The sequence below is a fragment of the Homo sapiens genome, chromosome 7, assembly GCF_000001405.40.
Source record: "Homo sapiens chromosome 7, GRCh38.p14 Primary Assembly".
In the NCBI taxonomy this organism is placed as follows: domain Eukaryota; kingdom Metazoa; phylum Chordata; class Mammalia; order Primates; family Hominidae; genus Homo; species Homo sapiens.
In genome coordinates this window covers 64,807,430-64,827,065 of record NC_000007.14, presented here as the reverse complement: position 1 = coordinate 64,827,065, position 19,636 = coordinate 64,807,430, and the positions used below count along the sequence as shown (strand labels likewise).

Here is a 19,636-nt window from a genome sequence, read left to right as displayed (position 1 = left end):
AAAACATTTATAAATATAAACCTCTTTATTATAAATGTATATAGACACATATTCTTTACTATAATAATGATGGTGCATAAAACCCTTAAACTTCTTCTACAGAATATGAAAAATGAGGCCAGGCACAGTGGCTCACACCTGTAATCCCAGCACTTTGGGAGGCCGAGGCAGGTGGACTGCTTGAGGCCAGAAGTTTGAGACTAGCCTGGCCAACATGGCAAAACCTTGTCTATACTAAAAATACAAAAATTAGCTGGCAATTATGGTGTGTGCCTTTAATGCCAGCTACTTGGGAGGCTGAGGCACAAGAATTGTTTGAACCTGGAAGGCAGAAGTTACAGTGAACCGAGATAACACCATTGCACTCCAGCCTTGGGTGCAATGAAACTCTGTGAAGACAGTGAAACTCTGTCTAAAAAAAAATTTTAAAAAAAGGTTAAATGAAATATTAATATATTAATAAATACACACATTTAAAAAATTAAGGCCAGGCTGGGTGGCTCACACCTGTAATCTCAGCACTTTGGGAAGCCGAGGCGGGCAGATCACCTGAGGTCAGGAGTTTGAGACCCGCCTGACCAACATGGAGAAACCCCGTCTCTACTAAAAATACAAAAAATTAGCCGGGCATGGTGGTGCATGCCTGTAATCCCAGCTACTTGGGAGGCCAAGGCAGAAGAATCGCTTGAACCCGGGAGGCAGAGGTTGTGGTGAGACAACATCGTGCCATTGCACTCCAGCCTGGGCAACAAGAGCGAAACTCTGTCTCAATAAATAAATAAACAAATAAATAATCAAAGCACGTCACTACACAATTAAAATAAACAAAAATTAAGGCAGTAAAACAGAAAAAAAACTACAGGAAACACATAAAACAATAACAAACTAGTAACTAATTTCCTTTCTTTAAACAATCAATTTAAATATAAATTAAACTATTCAATAGGAAGAAATTAATCCTAGGGTTTTGGGAGGCCAAGGGGGGCTATTCACTTGATCCCAGAAGTTCAAGACAAGCCTGGGTAACATGGCAAAACCCTATCACTACAAAAAATACATAAATAACTAGCTGGGTGTAATGGTACTTACGTGTAAACAGCTACTTGACAGGGTGAAATAAAAGGATCATCTGAGTTTGGGAGTTTGAGGCTGCAGTGAGCCATGATCACACCACTGCAAACCAGCCTGATTGACGAAGTGTAACAGTATCTTAAAACTAAATGAATAATGGCCAGGCGCGGGGGCTCATGCCTGTAATCCCAACATTTTGGGAGGCCAAGGTGGGCAGATCACCAGGTCAGGAGATCGAGACCATCTGGCCAACATAGTGAAACCCTGTCTCTACCGAAAATACAAAAATTAGCTAGGCATGGCAGCAAGCACCTGTAGTCCCAGCTCCTCAGAAGGCTGAGGCAGGGGAATCGCTTGAACCCGGGAAGCAGAGGTTGCAGTGAACCGAGATTGTGCCACTGCACTCCAGCTTGGCGACAGAGCAATACTCTGTCTCAAAAAAAAAAAAAAAGTTAATAAATAAATAGCAAAAAAAAGAAAAAGAAAAAGAAAATGCCCGAGTGGCTTAAGAAAAAAGCATACAATCCCGGGTGCGGTGGCTCAGGCCTGTAATCCCAGCACTTTGGGAGGCCAAGGTGGGCAGATCACGAGGTCAGAAATCCAGACCATCCTGGCTAACACGGTGAGACTCCGTCTCTACTAAAAATACAAAAAATTAGCCGGCCCTGTTGGCGGGCGCCTGTAGTCCCAGCTACTTGGGAGGCTGAGGCAGAAGAATGGCGTGAACCCGGGAGGCAGAGCTTGCAGTGAGCCGAGATCGCGCCACTGCACTCCAGCCTGGGCGACAGTGCGAGACTCCGTCTCAAAAAAAAAAAAAAAAAAAAAAAAAAAAAAAAAAAAGAGCATACAACATGCGGCCTACAAGAGACTCATTTTAGGCCTGGCACAGTGGCTCACACTTGAAATTCCAGCACTTTGGGAGGCTGAAACCAGCCTGGCCAAAGTGGTAAAACCCTATCTCTACTAAAAAAATTAAAATACAAAAGTTAGCCAGGTGAGGTGGTGCATGCCTATAATCCCAGCTACTTGAGAAACTGAGGCAGGAGAACTGCTTGAACCCAGGAGACAGAGGTTGCATTGAGCCAGCCTGGGTGACAGAGCAAGACTGTATCTCAAAAAAAAAAAAAGAGACTCATAAGCGTTGAGTCAAATAGGCTGAAAGTATCAGAATGGAAAATATCTTTATTCTATGCAAATAGTAACCACAATTGCGTGAGGAAGTCATAATTATATTAAACATAATATGCTTTAAGTCCAGTACTAGCAAGAGACAAAAACTGATATTATGTAATACTAAAATGGGTAAATTTATCAAGAATTTATAACTATTATATTTGTCTATGTATGTGCATGTACAACATCAGGGCTCCAATATGTAGAAAGCAAATATTGACAAAAGTCAAGTAAGAAATACATAGCAACATAATAATTGCAGAAATCAAGACCCCATTTTCAATAATAAATAGAAAGTTCAGATAAAAAATCAAGAGAAAACAGAAAACTTAGACAACATTATAGACTATATTAATTATTTTGCATACACAGGAATACCCGAGTAGATAATCTGTAAAGAAAAAAGGTTTATTTGCTCACAGTTTGGCAGACTGTACAAGAAGTGTGTGTCAGCATCTGCTTCTGGTGAGAGCCTCAGGAAGCTTACAATCATGGTGGAAGGCAAAGAGTAACTGGACATGTGACATGGTAAGGGACAGGAATTGTGGGGTAAAGAAGCTAGGTTCTTTCAATGAACCAGCTCTCATGTGAATTAAGTGTAAATTTTTTTATTACCAAGAGGATGGTGTCACGCCATTCATGAAAAATTTGCCCCCATGACCCAAACACTTCCCTAGGTCCCACCTCCAACACTGAGGATTATATTGCAGCATGAGGTTTGGAGAACATGGACATCCAAACCATATTACAGACCAACTAGGCTTAACAGTTATGTGCAAACTTTCCAGTCAAAAGCAAGAGAATACAGAATATTCTTATCTGCATCTGGTGTATTCTGTTATAAATCATACCAAGCCGTATTAAATTTATTTATTTATTTTTTTGAGGTGGAGTCTCAATCTGTCACCCAGGCTGGAGTGCAGTGGCACGATCTCAGCTCACTGCAACCTCTGCTTCCGGTGTTCAAGTGATTCTTCTGCCTCAGCCTCCAGAGTAGCTGGGACTACAGGCGCGTGCCACCACGCCCAGCTAATTTTTGTATTTTTAGTAGAGATGAGGTTTCACCATATTGGCCAGGCTGGGCTCAAACTCCTGACCTCGTGATCCACCCGCCTCAGCCTCTCAAAGTGCTGGGATTATAGGTGTGAACTGCTGCGCCCAGCTGCCTCATTAAATTTAAGAATACCAGCTGGGTGCAGTGGTTCATGCCTATAATCGCAACACTTTGGGGGACCAAGGTGGGAGGATCATTGAAGCCAGAAGTTTGAGACCAGCCTGGGCAACATAGTGATGTCTTGTCCCTACAAATAATCAAAAAATTAGTTGAACATGGTAGTGCATGTCTGTAGTCACAGCTACTCAGGAGGCTGAGGTTGAAGGATCACTTGAGCCCAGGAGGCTGAGGCTGCAGTGAGCCAAAAGTATGCCACTGCACTCCAGCCTGGGTGACATAGTAAGATCCCATCTCAAAACAGCAACAAATGCATTTAAAACCAAAATCATACACTGTGTGTTTTCTGACCAAAACTGAATAAACCTAGGAATTAAAAGCAAAAGTAGAACTGGAAAATCTAAAAATATATAAAAATAAAACATACTCTTCAACATATTCTTGCTCAAGGGTCAAAAAATTTAATTTTTCAGCCAGGCGCAGTGGCTCATGCCTGTAATCCCAGCATTTTGGGAGGCCGAGGTGGGCGGATCACCTGAGGTCGGGAGTTCAAGACCAGCCTGACCAACATGGAGAAACCCCGTCTCTACTAAAAATACAAAATTAGACGGGCGTGGTGGTGCATGTCTGTAATCTCAGCTACTCAGGAGGCTGAGGCAGGAGAATCACTTGAACCAGGGAGGAGGAGGTTGCAGTGGGCCAAGATCGTGCCATTACACTCTAGCCTGGGCAACAAGAGTGAAACTTTGTCTCAAAAAAAAAAAAAAATAAAAAAATTAATTTTTCAAAGATGTCAATACAACATACAGCGGTAAACAAATTCAACATAATCTCTAACAAAATTCTAATAGCGCAATCTTTTTACAGAAATAGTTTAAAATTTTTAAATTTGATTAAAAACTATAGCAAAACATCCATTAAAAAGAAGATGCATTATACTTTCTGATTTCAAAACATAATAAAAGCTACAGTAACAAAAACAATGTGGTATTGACACAAAAATAGATAAACAGATGAAAGAACAAGACAGCCCAGAAATGAACCCTTCTATATATGATCAAATGATCTTCCACAAAGTTGCCATGAGCACACAATAGAGAAAAGATCGTCTCTTGGAAAAGTAATGTTGAAAATTGGATAACACTGATAAATTAAGTTGGATCATTTTCTCGAACCACATACAAAAAATATTTTTTTAAAAAAAATGTTTAGACCTAAAAAATCACTGTTAATCTCTTAGAAATGAATGTAAGAAAAAAACATGACATTGATCTTGGCATTACTTTCTTAGACACAACATTAAATGCATGTGAAACAAAGAAAAGAACAGAAAAATTGAACTACACTAGACTTCAATATCTCTGCACATTAAATACAGCATTCAATAGAGTGATAAGGTCTCCTAGAAAATGGGTGAAAATATTTGCAAATTGGCCAGGCACGGTGGCTCACGCCTGTAATCCCAGCACTTTGGGAGGCCAAGGTGGGTGGATCTTGAGGTCAGGAGATCGAGACCATCTTGGCTAACACGGTGAAACCCCATCTCTACTAAAAATACAAAAAAATTAGCCAGGCGTGGTGGTGGTCACCTGTGGTCCCAGCTACTCGGGAGGCAGAGACAGAAGAATGGCGTGAACCCAGGAGGCAGAGCTTGCAGTGAGCTGAGATCGCGCCACTGCACTCCAGCCTGGGTGACGGAGCCAGACTCTGTCTCAAAAAAAAAAAAAAAAAAAAAGACAATATTTGCAAATCACATGTGATAGGAGTTATATTCAGAATACATAAACAACTCTTAAAACCAAATAAAGAGCAGCATGATGGCTCATGCCTGTAATCCCAACACTTTGGGAGGCCAAGGCAGGAGGATCACGAGGTCAGTAGTTGGAGACCAGCCTGGCCAACATGGTGAAACCCTGTCTCCACTAAAAATACAAAAATTAGCCAGGCGTGGTGGCACCTGCCTGTAATCCCAGCTACTCAGGAGGCTGAGGCATGAGAATCACTTGAACCCGGGAGGTGGAGGTTGCAGTGAGCTGAGATCATGCCACTGCACTCTAGCCTGGGCAACAAAGTGAGACTGTGTCTCGAAAACAAACAAACAAAAAGAATATAAAGTTGAATAACTTGATTTAGAAATGAACAAATAATTGAAGTAAATTTTCATTAAAAATGATACACAAATGGAAAAAGCATTTGAAAAAACACACTAAATTAATATTTGTAGAGAAATGCATAATAATTACAATAAAAAACAATTACCTAGGCTGGGCACCGTGGCTCACACCTATAATCCCAGCACTTTGGGAGGCTGAGGTGGGTGGATCACAATGTCACGAGATCAAGACCATCCTAGCTAACACAGTGAAACTCCGTCTCTATTAAAAATACAAAAAATTAGCCGGGCGTGGTGGCAAGCGCCTGTAGTCCCAGCTACTCAGGAGGCTGAGGCAGGAGAATGGCGTGAACCCAGGAGGTGGAGGTTGCAGCGAGCCGAGATTGCACCACTGCACTCCAGCCTGGGCGACGGAGCCAGACTCCGTCCCAAAAACAAACAAACAAACAAACAAACAAAAAACAAAACAAAACAAAAAAACCAAAAACAAAACAAAAAAAAACAATCACCTCACACCAATTAGAATGGCCATCATCAATTTTTTTTAAAAACACCAAATCTGTTGATAATGCAATAAAAATAAACTCCATGTTGATTGTTGGTGGAAAACAAGAATGCAGTCATTATTTTAAAATTTTATAAATGTTTCTCAAGTAATTATAAATAAAATTATGGGCTGGGTGCAGTGGCTCACGCCTGTAATCTCAACACTTTAGGAGGCCAAGGCAAGCAGATCACTTGAGATCAGGACTTCGAGACCAGCCTGGCCAAAATGGTGAAACCTTGTCTCTACTAAAAATACAAAACTTAGCCAGGCATGGTGGTGAGTGCCTGTAATTCCAGCTACTCAGAAGGCTGAGGCACAAGAATCATTTGAATCCAGGAGGCAGAGGTTGCAGTGACCTGGTATTGTGTCACAGCACTCCAGCCTGGGTGACAGAACCAGTCTCCATCTCAAAAATAAAACTATCATCAACTACAGCAATCCCATTTATGAATCTATATCCAAACTATGCAACCCAGGACCTGAAAAACATATTTGAACATCTATGTTTATTGTACCAGTATTCACAAAAGCTGGAAGGCTGAAGCAACTGTCCCTTGACTTACAAACACATCAAAAAATGTAACATATACACAAAATGGAATTTTATTCAGCCTTAAAATAGAAAATCTTGTGACATTTTAGATAAACTTTGAGAATATTATATCACCTGAAATAATCCAGTAACAAAATGATGGAGACTGGATGATTCCACTTATAAGGTATCTTAAGTAGTCACACTCCGCCCCCATAAAATCCAAAGTGGAAGGGTGTCTGTCAAGGGATAAAGAGAAGGTAAAATGGGCAGTTGTTACTTAATTGGTATTAAATTTTAGTTTCACAAGATGTAAAATTTCTGAAAGTCTTTTGCATAACAATGTGAATATAGTTAACATGCCTGAAATGAACAGCTTTTTTGCGGGGACAGAGTCTCACTCTGTCACCTGAGCTGGAGTGCAGTGGCACAATTATCACTCACTATAGCCTCAAACTCCTAGGCTCAAGTAATTCTCCCCTCTAAATCTCCCAAAAAGCTGGGACCACAGGTGGACAAGACCATGCCTGGCTATTAAAAAAAAAAAAAAATTTGTAGTTGAATCTCCATGTTTCCCGGGCTGGTCTCAAACTTTCATGCTCAAGTAATCCTCTTGTCTTGGCCTCCCAAAATCCTGAGATTACACATGGAAGCCACCACAATGCCTGGCCCTGAAATGCACACTTGAATAGATTTAAGATGGTAAATTTTATGTTATGAGTTTTTACAATTAATTTTTGAAAAACTGAGAAAAATACAGAATTATAAATCTTTTCAAAAATTACCCTCAGGCCGGATGTGGTGGCTGCCGCTTGTAATCCTAGCACTTTGGGAAGATGAGGCGGGCAGATTGCCTGAGCTGAGGAGTTTGAGATCACCCTGGGCAACATGGTGAAACCCCATCTCTCCTAAAAATACAACAAAATATCCAGGCATGGTGGCGGCCACCTGTAATCCTAGCCACTGAGGAGACTGAGGCAGGAGAATCACTTGAGCCTAAAAGGTGGAGGTTGCAGTGAGCCAAGATCCTTCCACTGCACTCCAACCCGGGCAAAAGAGCAAGACTCAATCTCCAAAAATGGAAAAAAAAAAAAAAAAATTACCCTGAAACCACAAAAGTGTTTCTCTCACACAAGGAAATATATATTCATTATAAAACTCATGGTAAAAATAAGACTATTTCCATGATTACTCACTTACACAAAATAAAACGACCATTGAAAATCAGCTAAGAATGAATATAAACAAGATAAGCCATAACCAAAATAGGGGTCATATTTGTAAATAAAACACATACATACATAATCTGATTGTGACAGACATGTTCCTGATTTATCTATTAAACCCCACATTGACTTAAAGTGTACAAACAATTGCAAAATGTCTTAAATAATAATATGTAAGTAAAACAAAAAAATTACAATAAACTAATATTAAGCAACCTACACTGAAAAAACACACTAATACAGAACTACAAAACAATAATAAGAGACATGTTTACTCATAAAATCTGGCTTGTAATATTGGTGTAACATTAAGAAAGAATTTGTCCAGATAACTGCAATATTTGACTGTGTACTCATGGAAGGCAGGTATTTTGAATTAGTGCCATCCACTGTATGGCAGTAAAATTTCAGAGGAAATGCAGCATAACCATGAATAGAAGATTGTAATGAGAAATTTTCAATAAGCACTTTTTTTTTTTTTTTTAGATGGAGTCTCGCTCTGTCACCCAGGCTAAAGTGCAGAGGCATGATCTCGGCTCACCACAACCTCTGCCTCCCAGGTTCAAGTGATTCTCCTGCCTCAGCCTCCTGAGTAGCTGGGATTACAGGCATGCGACACCATGCGCAGCTAATTTTTGTATTTTTAGTACAGACAGTGTTTCACCATGTTGGCCAGGCTGGTCTCGAACTCCTGGCCTCGTGATCTGCCCACCTCAGCCTCCCAAAGTGCTGGGATTACAGGCGTGAGCCACCACATCCGGCTCAACAAGCATTTAAAGAAACTATACATAATTTTGATATTTTAAATATATGCTGCTCCTACACAAATGAAACTGCTGTAATCCAACTGTGGAAGCAAAGAACACCCTTACATTGCTAAATAAAGAAATATACATATACTTTGTAAAATATAGTTAGAGCCTCTGCTTATATAAAAGAAATATTCAGGCTGGGCGTGGTGGATCGCACCTGTAATCCCAGCACATTGGGAGGCCGAGGTGGGGGGACTACTTGAGATCAGGAGTTCAAGACTAGCCTGGCCAGCATGGTGAAACCCTATCTTTACTAAAAATACAACAAAATTAGCTGGGTGTGGTGGTGCATGCCTGTTATCCCAGCTACTTGGGAGGCTGAGGAAGGAGAACCTGGGAGACAGAGGTTGCAGTAAGCCAAGATTGTACTGCTGCACTCCAGCCTGGGTGCAGAGTGAGACTCGGTCTCAAAAAAAAAAAAAAATAATAATAATAATAAATAATGTTATTATTAAGATACAGGCTGAAGAAAGTAAGTGAAAATCCTGTAATTCCTCTTTACCTACAGCAAACTTAAATGTATAAGTAACTATTTTAGTAAATATGGAGTGCCTACTAATTAACTAATTTACTTCCAGCATAACTTATAAATTCTAGCATACTGTTCTAAATGTCTGAATCTAAAATTACAGATAAATATGAAATAGAAAATAAAAAATAAAAACGTATATGAAGAGTTATATCGGTAAAATGGAAATATAAAAGATGCCCTATTTTTTTATGCCCCAACAGCAAAAAGATTTATCAGCCATCCCTGACAAAAATTCCTTTATCAGAGAGCGAGGCATCATGGCTCACACCTGTAATGACAGCTACATGGTACATTCACATTGGAGAATTGCTTCGGGCCAGGATTTCAAGACCAGCTTGGGTTATGTAGCAAGACCCCATGTCAAAAATAAGTGTTTTTAAGAGAGCTCTGAGATCCAGGGAGGGAGTTGTGAAACTGCTAAACCCCAGATGGAGGAGTGTTCTCTTCAGAAAGCAGACCCTCATTCAGGTGGCAAACTGCAAGATTCCCGTTCTTGGCTACATACCAAGAAATGGCCCACCCAACTTGGTCCCACTGAGAATTCTGAACTTACTCTGTAACCATCCCAAACTCCTCCCAATCACAGTCTGGGAGAGGTCCTGCTCTTCCAGAGGCCTGCAGGAAGGAAGACACGCATTTACCGCCATGCAGGCAGGCCTGCAGACCTTGCCCTTTACTGTGGTCCCTGAAGCATTTCAATGACTCAGTTCTAGTTCCCTTAGCCACAGTTCATGGCCAGTTCTGCCTACATAGAAACCCACACAGTGACCTGGAAAAATCCTCTCTGGTACTCAGTGAAAGCCATACTCATCCATATCCTGATATAAGGCCCACCATATGCAGACCAAACTGCAAAAACCTGCCCTAGTGGCTGCCCTACAGAGCAAAGTGCTGAAGGATATTTAATCTGTCCAAAAATAAAATGGGAATTACAACAGCCCAAGCCCGTTGTAACAAGCCAGTAAAGGTGGGCCCTAGTGCAGGCCCAGCAGCCTTGTGACCAAGCGACACCCCTCTCCATTACAAACCCAGAGGGCATCCCATCACCTGGGGGCCAACAAAAGATCTTTACCTCCTGAAACCAGGATATAAAAACGTGAAGAGGTGTTTGCTCCTTCAAAATCACAAGCACCAATGCAAAACTATATTGTGTCATTGTCAATACTTCTATTTTAACATAGCATTGAAAGTATGTGGCAAAAGAATTAGTTTAAAATATGAAAAAAAAATGCCATTGAAGACAAGTAAAACGTTGCTGGTTGTAGACCATGTGATCTAATATATTAAAAAACAAAAAGTACATTAAAACATGTCAATACTGATAAATATACTCAGTAAATTACCGAAATATAAAATTAACATACAAGTATAAATTATGGTTCCATATACTTAAAACAAATTATCTGATAAAATAGAGAAAGAAAACAATCTTTACAATAGCATTACAATAATAAACTTCTGAGAACAAATTTAACCAAAGAGGTAAAAAATTTTTACAATGTAACATATCAATAAAAAAATGAGATGATACAAATAAATTTAAAAATATTTTATTTATATGGATTCAAAAAATAAATTTTGTTAAAGTGCCATGTTATCCAAAGTGATCTACAAATTCAATATACTCCATATCAAAATTCCAGTGACATTTTTGTCACAGTAATAAAAAATACAATTCTAAAATTTACATGAAACTACAATAAACTTTGAATAGCCAAAGCAATCTTGAGGAAAAAGAACAAAGTAGAGGGACATCATATTTCATAATTTCAAACTACATTTTAAAACTATAATAAAAACAGAATGGAATATGCAGAAAAATGAACAAAAAAACCACAATGGAACAGAAACCACTACTCACACATTTCAGATACGATGCAAAAAGAGAACTTAAAATATAGTTTAACATAGAGTTTCTCAAAATTATGCAGATATTTGCGTGTCCTTAAAAACAATAAAAAAGCAGTCAGATTGTGCAGTCTTTTATATGCCATGAAAAGGACGTTGGCTCTCACTGTGAACTTGAAGAAAGATCACCAAAGGGAAAGTAGAATTCTTAGAGAATTTAAAAACATAAGACAGAAGATGTCTTATGTAAGAGCAAAATAAAAAACTCAGGCTTTCCAGAAACTATTTCCTTTGGAATACAGATTTCCAAATCACATTTAAAGGAGTGGTCTTCTCCTTGGCCTTTGACCTCTCATCTGTGCCATCTGTGTATTCACTCTCACCTACCTGAATGTTTGGCTACCACCATCTCATGTCTCTTCATATTCCAGGGCTCTTTTCCTTGTTCCAGACAGGTAATCAGGTCTGGCTTAGAGATAGCAATACTTGTTTTATTAAAAATAAGTAACATGACTCTGGCTCATATTCTCCAATTACCAACCTAGTAATGTGCTCAGTAAAGAGAATGTAATAGAATATTCTAGTAAATTAATCCCAAAATGCTAATATATAACAGAAAATTCTAAATATTTAGAAAATATTTTAAATTTGTAAATTCTTAATTTCACTACCCAGTACTATTGATTCAAAATAATTGGTGTTGGGAGTTAGATTTAGGTGTGGGCAACAACACTTTACGCCAATAAATTTCTGGAATTACCACTAATCTAGAGTGAAGGATACATATCAGCTCAGAAATGTGGAAAGTTCAGGTCAAGATGAAACATCTTAAAGAAATTGTTTTCTACACTGACAAATCTCAAAGATTCTTTTGAAAACAGGAATCTGAAACTCATTTATGCAAAGCATAAATTACCAAAAGACATTCTACCCAAAAAAAAAAAAAAATGAAACCTTTAGGATATATTAGGAAATGTGTACTGAAGTTATTCTCACCCAAGAAAACCAGGTTTCTGTAGTTCTCTAACATCACATGCCTATATACATTCCGCTGTGCAGTGTCCAGGCACTGCCACTCCTCCAAAGAGAACTCTATGGCCACATCCATAAATGTCAGTGGTCCCTGAAAAACACGCACACACAAACACACACACACATTAACCAAGTAGCCATGGGCAGAATTTTAAATTTGACTCAAGGTAAAATAAGACAGTAAGGAAAACTGATTATGTCTTACAGGAGTGACTGAAATTATTCATAAAATAATTTTTTTTTTTTGAGACAGAGTCTCACTCTGTTGCCCACGCTGGAGTGCAATGGTGCAATCTTGGCTCACTGCAACCTCTGCCTCCCAGGTTCAAGCAATTCTGCCTCAGCATCCCGAGTAGCTGGGATTACAGGTGCCCACCACCAAGTCTAGTTAATTTTTTGTATTTGTAGTAGAAACGGGGCTTCACTATGTTGGCCAGGCTGGTCTCGAACTCCTGACCTCGTGATCCACCCTCCTCGGCCTCCCAAAGTGCTGGGATTACAGGTGTGAGCCACCAGGACCAGCCCATAAAATAATTTTTAACAGAAATATTTTCTAATGTACTTCTTGCCCTGAGAAAAGAAAGTGGCATAAGATCCACAGAATCAGCATACACATGGTACTCTTCTGGATGATAAAGTATAAAATTAAGGGCATAAACACAAACATGTCCATTTCTGAGTGCTATATGTGCATCATACAGAATAAGTTGTGTGTATTTTTCAGATGGAAAAGGCACGTTGAGTTAAAAGGTACCTCTCAAGTTTTAATGTGTACAATAAACTCGAGATCTGGTTAATGCAGATTATTTTTTCTGAAGATATGGAATAAAGTCTGATATTCTAAATTTCTAACAAGCTCACCGCTAATGTCAATGTTTTTGGCTCAAGAAGAATATCTTGTTAAATATCCAGTAAGTGGAAGAGCCTGTGATTTTCCCAGTTTTTCTGGCCTGTAAACAAAGATGAGAGCCTTGATTTTCCAAAGACAGATATATGCAAAGGAAACCTAAGATAGAAAGGCAGCTGCCAGATTAAATGTGATGGTTTATCCACATCAGCAGCATAAAGATACTTAATAATGCAGAGAAAAATAAGTAACTCTATAGTAAAGAAATCTGTCCAAGAGCTCTTTAACCAAGTGAATCATTAACATCAACTGCACTAAGACAAATTTTATGCGGTGTTGATGCACACAGAAAAACACGGCATCACTGCTGCAATACTGCCCCCAAAAGTAAATTGTAGTCTGAATGTAACCATAAAAAAAAATCATTTGGCCAGGCGGGGTGACTCACGCCTGTAATCCCAGCACTTTGGGAGGCCGAGGCAGGCGGATCACGAGGTCAGGAGATCGACACCATCCTGGCTAACACAGTGAAACCCCGTCTCTACTAAAAATACAAAAAAATTAGCCGGGCGTGGTGGCGGGCACCTGTAGTCCCAGCTACTGGGGAGGCTGAGGCAGGAGAATGGCGTCAACCCGGGAGGCAGAGCTTGCAGTGAGCGGAGATCCCGCCACTGCACTCCAGCCTGGGCGACAGCGCGAGACTCCATTAAAAAAAAAAAAAAAAATCATTTTTATGCAAACTTTAAGATACAGGTAATTCATGTTCTGTAATTTCTAATAGTGATTTTAAGTAGTCTTTCTTTAGCACCCCAAAGAGCAGGGATCTCTTAATAATTTTTTTCAGAACTTTCTGGGTAACGAGTGCCATTCTGTTTAAAACAGCATTTTATTAATCCTGTTCTGCATAGAACCAATGGAGAACACAGATGAAACTTCAAGATTACATGTTCTCCTTCTTTACTAAGGACCCCAGCTTTCCCCCAACAGAAACCTTGAGTATTCACATCTTTCCACAAATGGAACATTTTTAATGTTGCAGGTTATAAATTCATGAGAATTCTATATGGCCTGTAAGACAGCATGATGTAGAGAATGTAGGGAAGGCTCTGGTATGCAGGAAAAAACATTTTTTTTCAGAGACCCTTGACTATCATAAGAATTTTTAAAAGTAGTTAAAACAAACCTATTAGGGAGAAACAACACAATTAGAGAAGTAAAGGTTTACAGGTACTAAACGCATGGCATTCCAGGAGGAAGAGTGGACACAGTTCTCGATTTGAGACATGTTAAGCTAAAAAAAAAAAAAAAAAAGGCAATTTTTTTCCCCTTTCTCCTTCTTCTCTGGTATTCCTTCTCAGATGAGATTCTCTGGACAAATTACACCTGCATCTTCAGTTTATGCCTTTAAAGGTGTCAGCACCACCTGTTTACCTGCTACCACCACAGTCACACTTGGCCAAAGAACCAAGACCTACAGAAAAAGTTCACTCATTTCTTTCCTTTATAACAGAAGAGACTCAGAACAATAAGCTGCTCTATGGAAATAATAATACAAGTTTCTCCTTTCCTGTCCTCAGGTGCTCTTCTCTGCAATTTCTACTACAGTAATGGAAATATGGGCCACACTGCTCTGTCCCCATCAAATCCAAATAGAACCAGTCCTGTGACCACCCTTTAGTGAAAAGGTAAAACTTAACTCTCAGGCTGGGCACAGTGGATCACACCTGTAATCCCAACACTTTGGGAGGCAGAGGCTGCTGGATTACTTGAGGCCAGGATTTCAAGACCATCCTGGCCAACATGGCGAAACCTTCTCTAGAAAAATGCAAAAAAAAAATTAGCCGGGCGTGTGGTGAATACCTGTAGTCCCAGGTACTCAAAAGGCTGAAGCAGGAGAATCACTTGAACCCAGGAGGTGAAGGCTGAATTGAGCCAAGATCATGCCACTGCATTCTAGCCTGGCAGACAGAGCAAGACTGGGTCTCAAAAAAAAAAAAAACCCACTTAACTCTCATGAGTGTATCTTGAACCCCTCTTACTTGATTCTGTCCTCACCTGAGAGTCACAGGAGGAACTTAATTAAAACAACATGAATGCTTCCACCCAGAATAATAAACAGAACATGTGGAAAGGGTATAAGTAAAAAGATTACTGCAAATTGGCCATGTAATCCTAATTAGAAGTCTGGGCTAATAACCATTTAGCTAAGCATTACCTCTCAAGCTTTAATGAGTTTATACATCACTTGGTGATTTTGGACTCACCCTATGTAATGTGATACTGCAGGTTTGGAAAGGGTTCATGAATGGGAGTTTTAAACAAGTCTCCTGTCAAAGCTGATGTTGCTCCCCTTGGGCTCATTATTAGCATTAGTTAGAGAAAGCAGACACAGCAGAGTTCCTTACACTCAGCACTCTTGTCAAAATACAAATACTTCTAGGACAAATGAAGATAATCAATTTTCATATTTTTTGCTGGCTCTTTTAAGTTTACAGAACAAACAGAAGGCAGCTATGTCTGAATAAATCTGCATTTGAAAAACAGGCCGGGCACTTTGGGGGTCCAAAACAGGTGGATCACCTGAGGTCAGGAGTTCAAGACCAACCTGGCCAACATGGTGAAACCCTGTCTCTAATAAAAATACAAAAATTAGTTGGGCATGGTGGCGGGTGCCTGTAATCCCAGCTACTCAGGAGGCCGAGGTAGGAGAATCACTTGAACTTAGGAGGAAGAGGTTGCAGTAAGTCGAGATCCCACCATTGCACTCCAGCCTAGACGACAACAGCAACACTCTGTCTCAAGAAAAAAGAAAAGAAAAATAACATTTTCACATGTACTAATGCAATGATTATTAAGCAGGTACTATGTGCTGAAGGGACTGTTACAGAGCACTTTGCTGGGAATAACACATTACATGATTTAATCCTCATAGCACCTTGGGAGCTGGTATTAAGTGTTTAATAATTCCCTGGATTTAGAAAAAGGGCCCAGCATTTTTATTTCTTTTGTTTCTCTGTCACTGATTTTTTTAAAAAATGTATAGAATTAAAGCTAAATATAGACAGAGGAGAGGGATACAGAAAGAAAAACTTTAATGCAGCTTAGAGAAATTTTTATTGTGTTTATATTTACTTTTTTCTGACTTGCAGAGCAACAACATCTCCAAGAATAGAAAACAGGTTGGTAAATGGAATGTCTCTGCAAGCACTGGTTTTAATAAAAAAACTAAAAATTAAGACCCTAAAATACATACTTTATTTTTTCCATTTATCTGCTTTTAGGTTTCAGAATACCGTGAGCACTGGCTCTAGAAAGGCTGCAGGATTCACCACCCAGTACTCTCATCTCTTCTAATCAGTTCTGTGAGGCAAGACTCCAGGGTGGGGCCAGACCTAAATAAGGCCTCCAAAAACAGTAAATTTGAACAAGGCTGGGGCAGGGAGTGTACCCTATGTAGAATTCTGCTCTCTATGCCACTGGGGTATTTCCTATTGTTTTTGCTAAGCTTACCCAAAAGAAAATTAAATCCCACAGTTTGTGAACTTCTAATCTTTTTTAGTCACTGCCCTGTCAATTTTATAACATATACTAATAAGCAATTTAAACAAATCTCTTAGGGTTTTCTAGAGTAATTTTATTGGAAGCCAAATAAGTATTCTTAGCAAGGCATAAGAAACAGAAATACGCTCTCCCTCTCCCCCTCCCCCTCTCCCTCTCCCTCTCCCCACGGTCTCCCTCTCATGCTGAGCCGAAGCTGGACTGTACTGCTGCCATCTCGGCTCACTGCAACCTCTCTGCCTGATTTTCCTGACTCAGCCTGCCGAGTGCCTGCGATTGCAGGCTCGCGCCACCACGCCTGACTGGTTTTGGTGGAGACGGGGTTTCGCTGTGTCGGCCAGGCCAGTCTCCAGCCCCTAACCGCAAGTGATCCACCAGCCTCGGCCTCCCAAGGTGCCGGGATTGCAGACGGAGTCTCGTTCACTCAGTGCTCAATGGTGCCCAGGCTGGAGTGCAGTGGCGTGATCTGGGCTCGCTACAACCTCCACCTCCCAGCCGCCTGCCTTGGCCTCCCAAAGTGCCGAGATTGCAGCCTCTGCCCGGCCGCCACCCTGTCTGGGAAGTGAGGAGCATCTCTGCCTGGCCGCCCATCATCTGGGATGTGAGGAGCCCCTCTGCCTGGCTGCCCAGTCTGGAAAGTGAGGAGCGTCTCCGCCCGGCCGCCATCCCACCTAGGAAGTGAGGAGCACCTCTTCCTGGCTGCCATCACATCTAGGAAGTGAGGAGCGTCTCTGCCCGGCCGCCTATCGTCTGAGATGTGGGGAGCGCCTCTGCCCCGCCGCCCCGTCTGGGATGTGAGGAGCACCTCTGCCCGGCCGCGACCCCGTCTGGGAGGTGAGGAGCATCTCTGCCCGGCCGCCCCGTCTGAGAAGTGAGGAGACCCTCTGCCCGGCAACCGCCCCGTCTGAGAAGTGAGGAGCCCCTCCGCCCGGCAGCAGCCCCATCTGGGAAGTGAGGAGCGTCTCCGCCCGGCAGCCACCCCGTCTGGGAGGGAGGTGTGGGGGGGGTCAGCCCCCCGCCAGGCCAGCCGCCCCATCTGGGAGGGAGGTGGGGGGGGTCAGCCCCCTGCCCGGCCAGCCGCCCCATCCTGGGAGGGAGGTGGGGGGGGTCAGCCCCCCGCCCGGCCAGCCGCCCCATCCGGGAGGGAGGTTCAGGGGGTTAGCCCCCAACCCGGCCCAGCTGCCCCGTCCGGGAGGTGAGGGGCGCCTCTAACCGGCTGCCCCTACTGGGAAGTGAGGAGCCCCTCTGCCAGGCCAGCCGCCCCGTCCGGGAGGGAGGTGGGGGGGGGTCAGCCCCCCGCCCCTCCAGCCGCCCCGTCCGGGAGGGAGGTGGGGGGGTCAGCCCCCCACCCGGCCAGCCGCCCCACCCGGGAGGGAGGTGGGGGGGTCAGCCCCCCGCCCGGCCAGCTGCCCCACCCGGGAGGTGAGGGGCGCCTCTGCCCGGCCGCCCCTACTGGGAAGTGAGGAGCCCCTCTGCCCGGCCACCACCCCGTCTGGGAGGTGTGCCCAACAGCTCATTGAGAACGGGCCAGGATGACAATGGCGGCTTTGTGGAATAGAAAGGCGGGAAAGGTGGGGAAAAGATTGAGAAATCGGATGGTTGCCGTGTCTGTGTAGAAAGAAGTAGACATGGGAGACTTTTCATTTTGTTCTGTACTAAGAAAAATTCTTCTGCCTTGGGATCCTGTTGATCTGTGACCTTACCCCCAACCCTGTGCTCTCTGAAACATGTGCTGTGTCCACTCAGGGTTAAATGGATTAAGGGCGGTGCAAGATGTGCTTTGTTAAACAGATGCTTGAAGGCAGCTAAGAGTCATCACCACTCCCTAATCTCAAGTACCCAGGGACACAAACACTGCGGAAGGCCGCAGGGTCCTCTGCCTAGGAAAACCAGAGACCTTTGTTCACTTGTTTATCTGCTGACCTTCCCTCCACTATTGTCCTATGACCCTGCCAAATCCCCCTCTGTGAGAAACACCCAAGAATTATCAATAAAAAATAAATAAATTTAAAAAAAAAAGAAACAGAAATACTAATAGCAACTGTTGTGTCCATAAATATCCATAGAAATGACCTCGTAAGTTACAAAAATATAAAGTGGCCCAAATAAAGTACACTTTTTTTGCCCACATCTATTTATTATGCCAACCATATGATGCTTAATTCAACCATGTATTCAGTTGCTAGTCAAGACTAACAGTTCCTGGATGGTAGGGATCATGACTGCTTCATCTATTTTTCTAATGGCCATAGGAAATGCAAGCAATTAGTTTATCCCTTTGGGTCTCCAGACCACCTCCTTGTTTTTCATCCAAGTACCAGGAAACTGAAGAAACTCTCATCTGGGTACCAACCAAAGACATCTCTTGTATGAGGGGAGGAACAAACACAGGATGACTCATTTCTCTTACACTGAGACAGACGCAGAATTAACCACTCTTGTCAGCCTGACACAGTTCATCCCTGGACATCCTCAAATGTCTCAGAGATGCCTAGGTGATTGTGAGAGGATTCCCAGTGACCCTAGGCTGATTGCTTAAGGATAAGCCAAGCAGGAGTGGGACAGGCTGATTCTAAATAAAAAATGAAACTGCCCTAGCGGAGCTCCAGAACCTGGATCACCTGTCTTGATTGGCTAGCTCTTGCGTAAAATGAAAGACAAGAATACTCTACTCCAGTATCACATTTTATGGGTAGGTACAGTTGTGGTCATGGCTGTGGATACCTTGTGACCTTGATCTGTCACTCCTAAGATGCTTGTTTACACTTACAGATTCTGCCATCAGATTCTATTTACACAAGAGCATCTTACATTACTGTAGCAGATCACTGAACAAGATCTGAAAAGCTCAAAGAGCCACACTCCCAAAGCGGGGCTTTAAGATGTCTATGTTGACATCTCACAACGCAGAAAATGCCTCCTGTTGGTTTTCTGTACATTCTGAATCCAAAGTCTGGCCCTGCTTTGTAAATCTCAGGCAGAGATTTACACCTTCTGTGTAGATTCTAGATTGAATCAACCTGGCTCTGCATTCTTGACTGTTACAGGAGGCAAAGTACAACCAAAGGAGAGATCCCCTCATACAGCCTGCTCTAGCACATTCTAAGTGATACGTCTACCTAAAATGAAAGAGCTGAGGCAACATGAATATAAGTAGACAGTTCATTTGGAGCA

General features: G+C 41.9%; 1 protein-coding gene across 28 annotated transcripts in view; it reads right to left on the bottom strand.

The window, feature by feature from the left end:
• ZNF138 (zinc finger protein 138) overlaps positions 1-19,636 on the bottom strand; it is a 66,396-nt gene that overhangs the window by 33,758 nt on the left and 13,002 nt on the right. For 4 of the 28 annotated variants that reach the window (NR_160269.1, NR_073389.2, NM_001271640.2 and 1 more), the window contains exon 2: positions 12,022-12,148. The exons of 5 other annotated variants lie outside the window; for them this stretch is intronic. Coding sequence is in view for 20 of the 23 variants with exons in the window: in NM_001271640.2 (NP_001258569.1) it covers positions 12,022-12,148 (127 nt within the window). In the remaining 3 variants the exon portion in view is untranslated. Of the gene's footprint in view, positions 1-6,742; positions 6,847-9,729; positions 10,693-11,412; positions 11,495-12,021; positions 12,149-12,918; positions 13,008-15,168; positions 16,604-19,636 lie in introns of those variants that run through there. 19 more of the 28 variants (NM_001367574.1, NM_001160183.3, NM_001271639.2 and 16 more) reach the window with 16 other exon arrangements.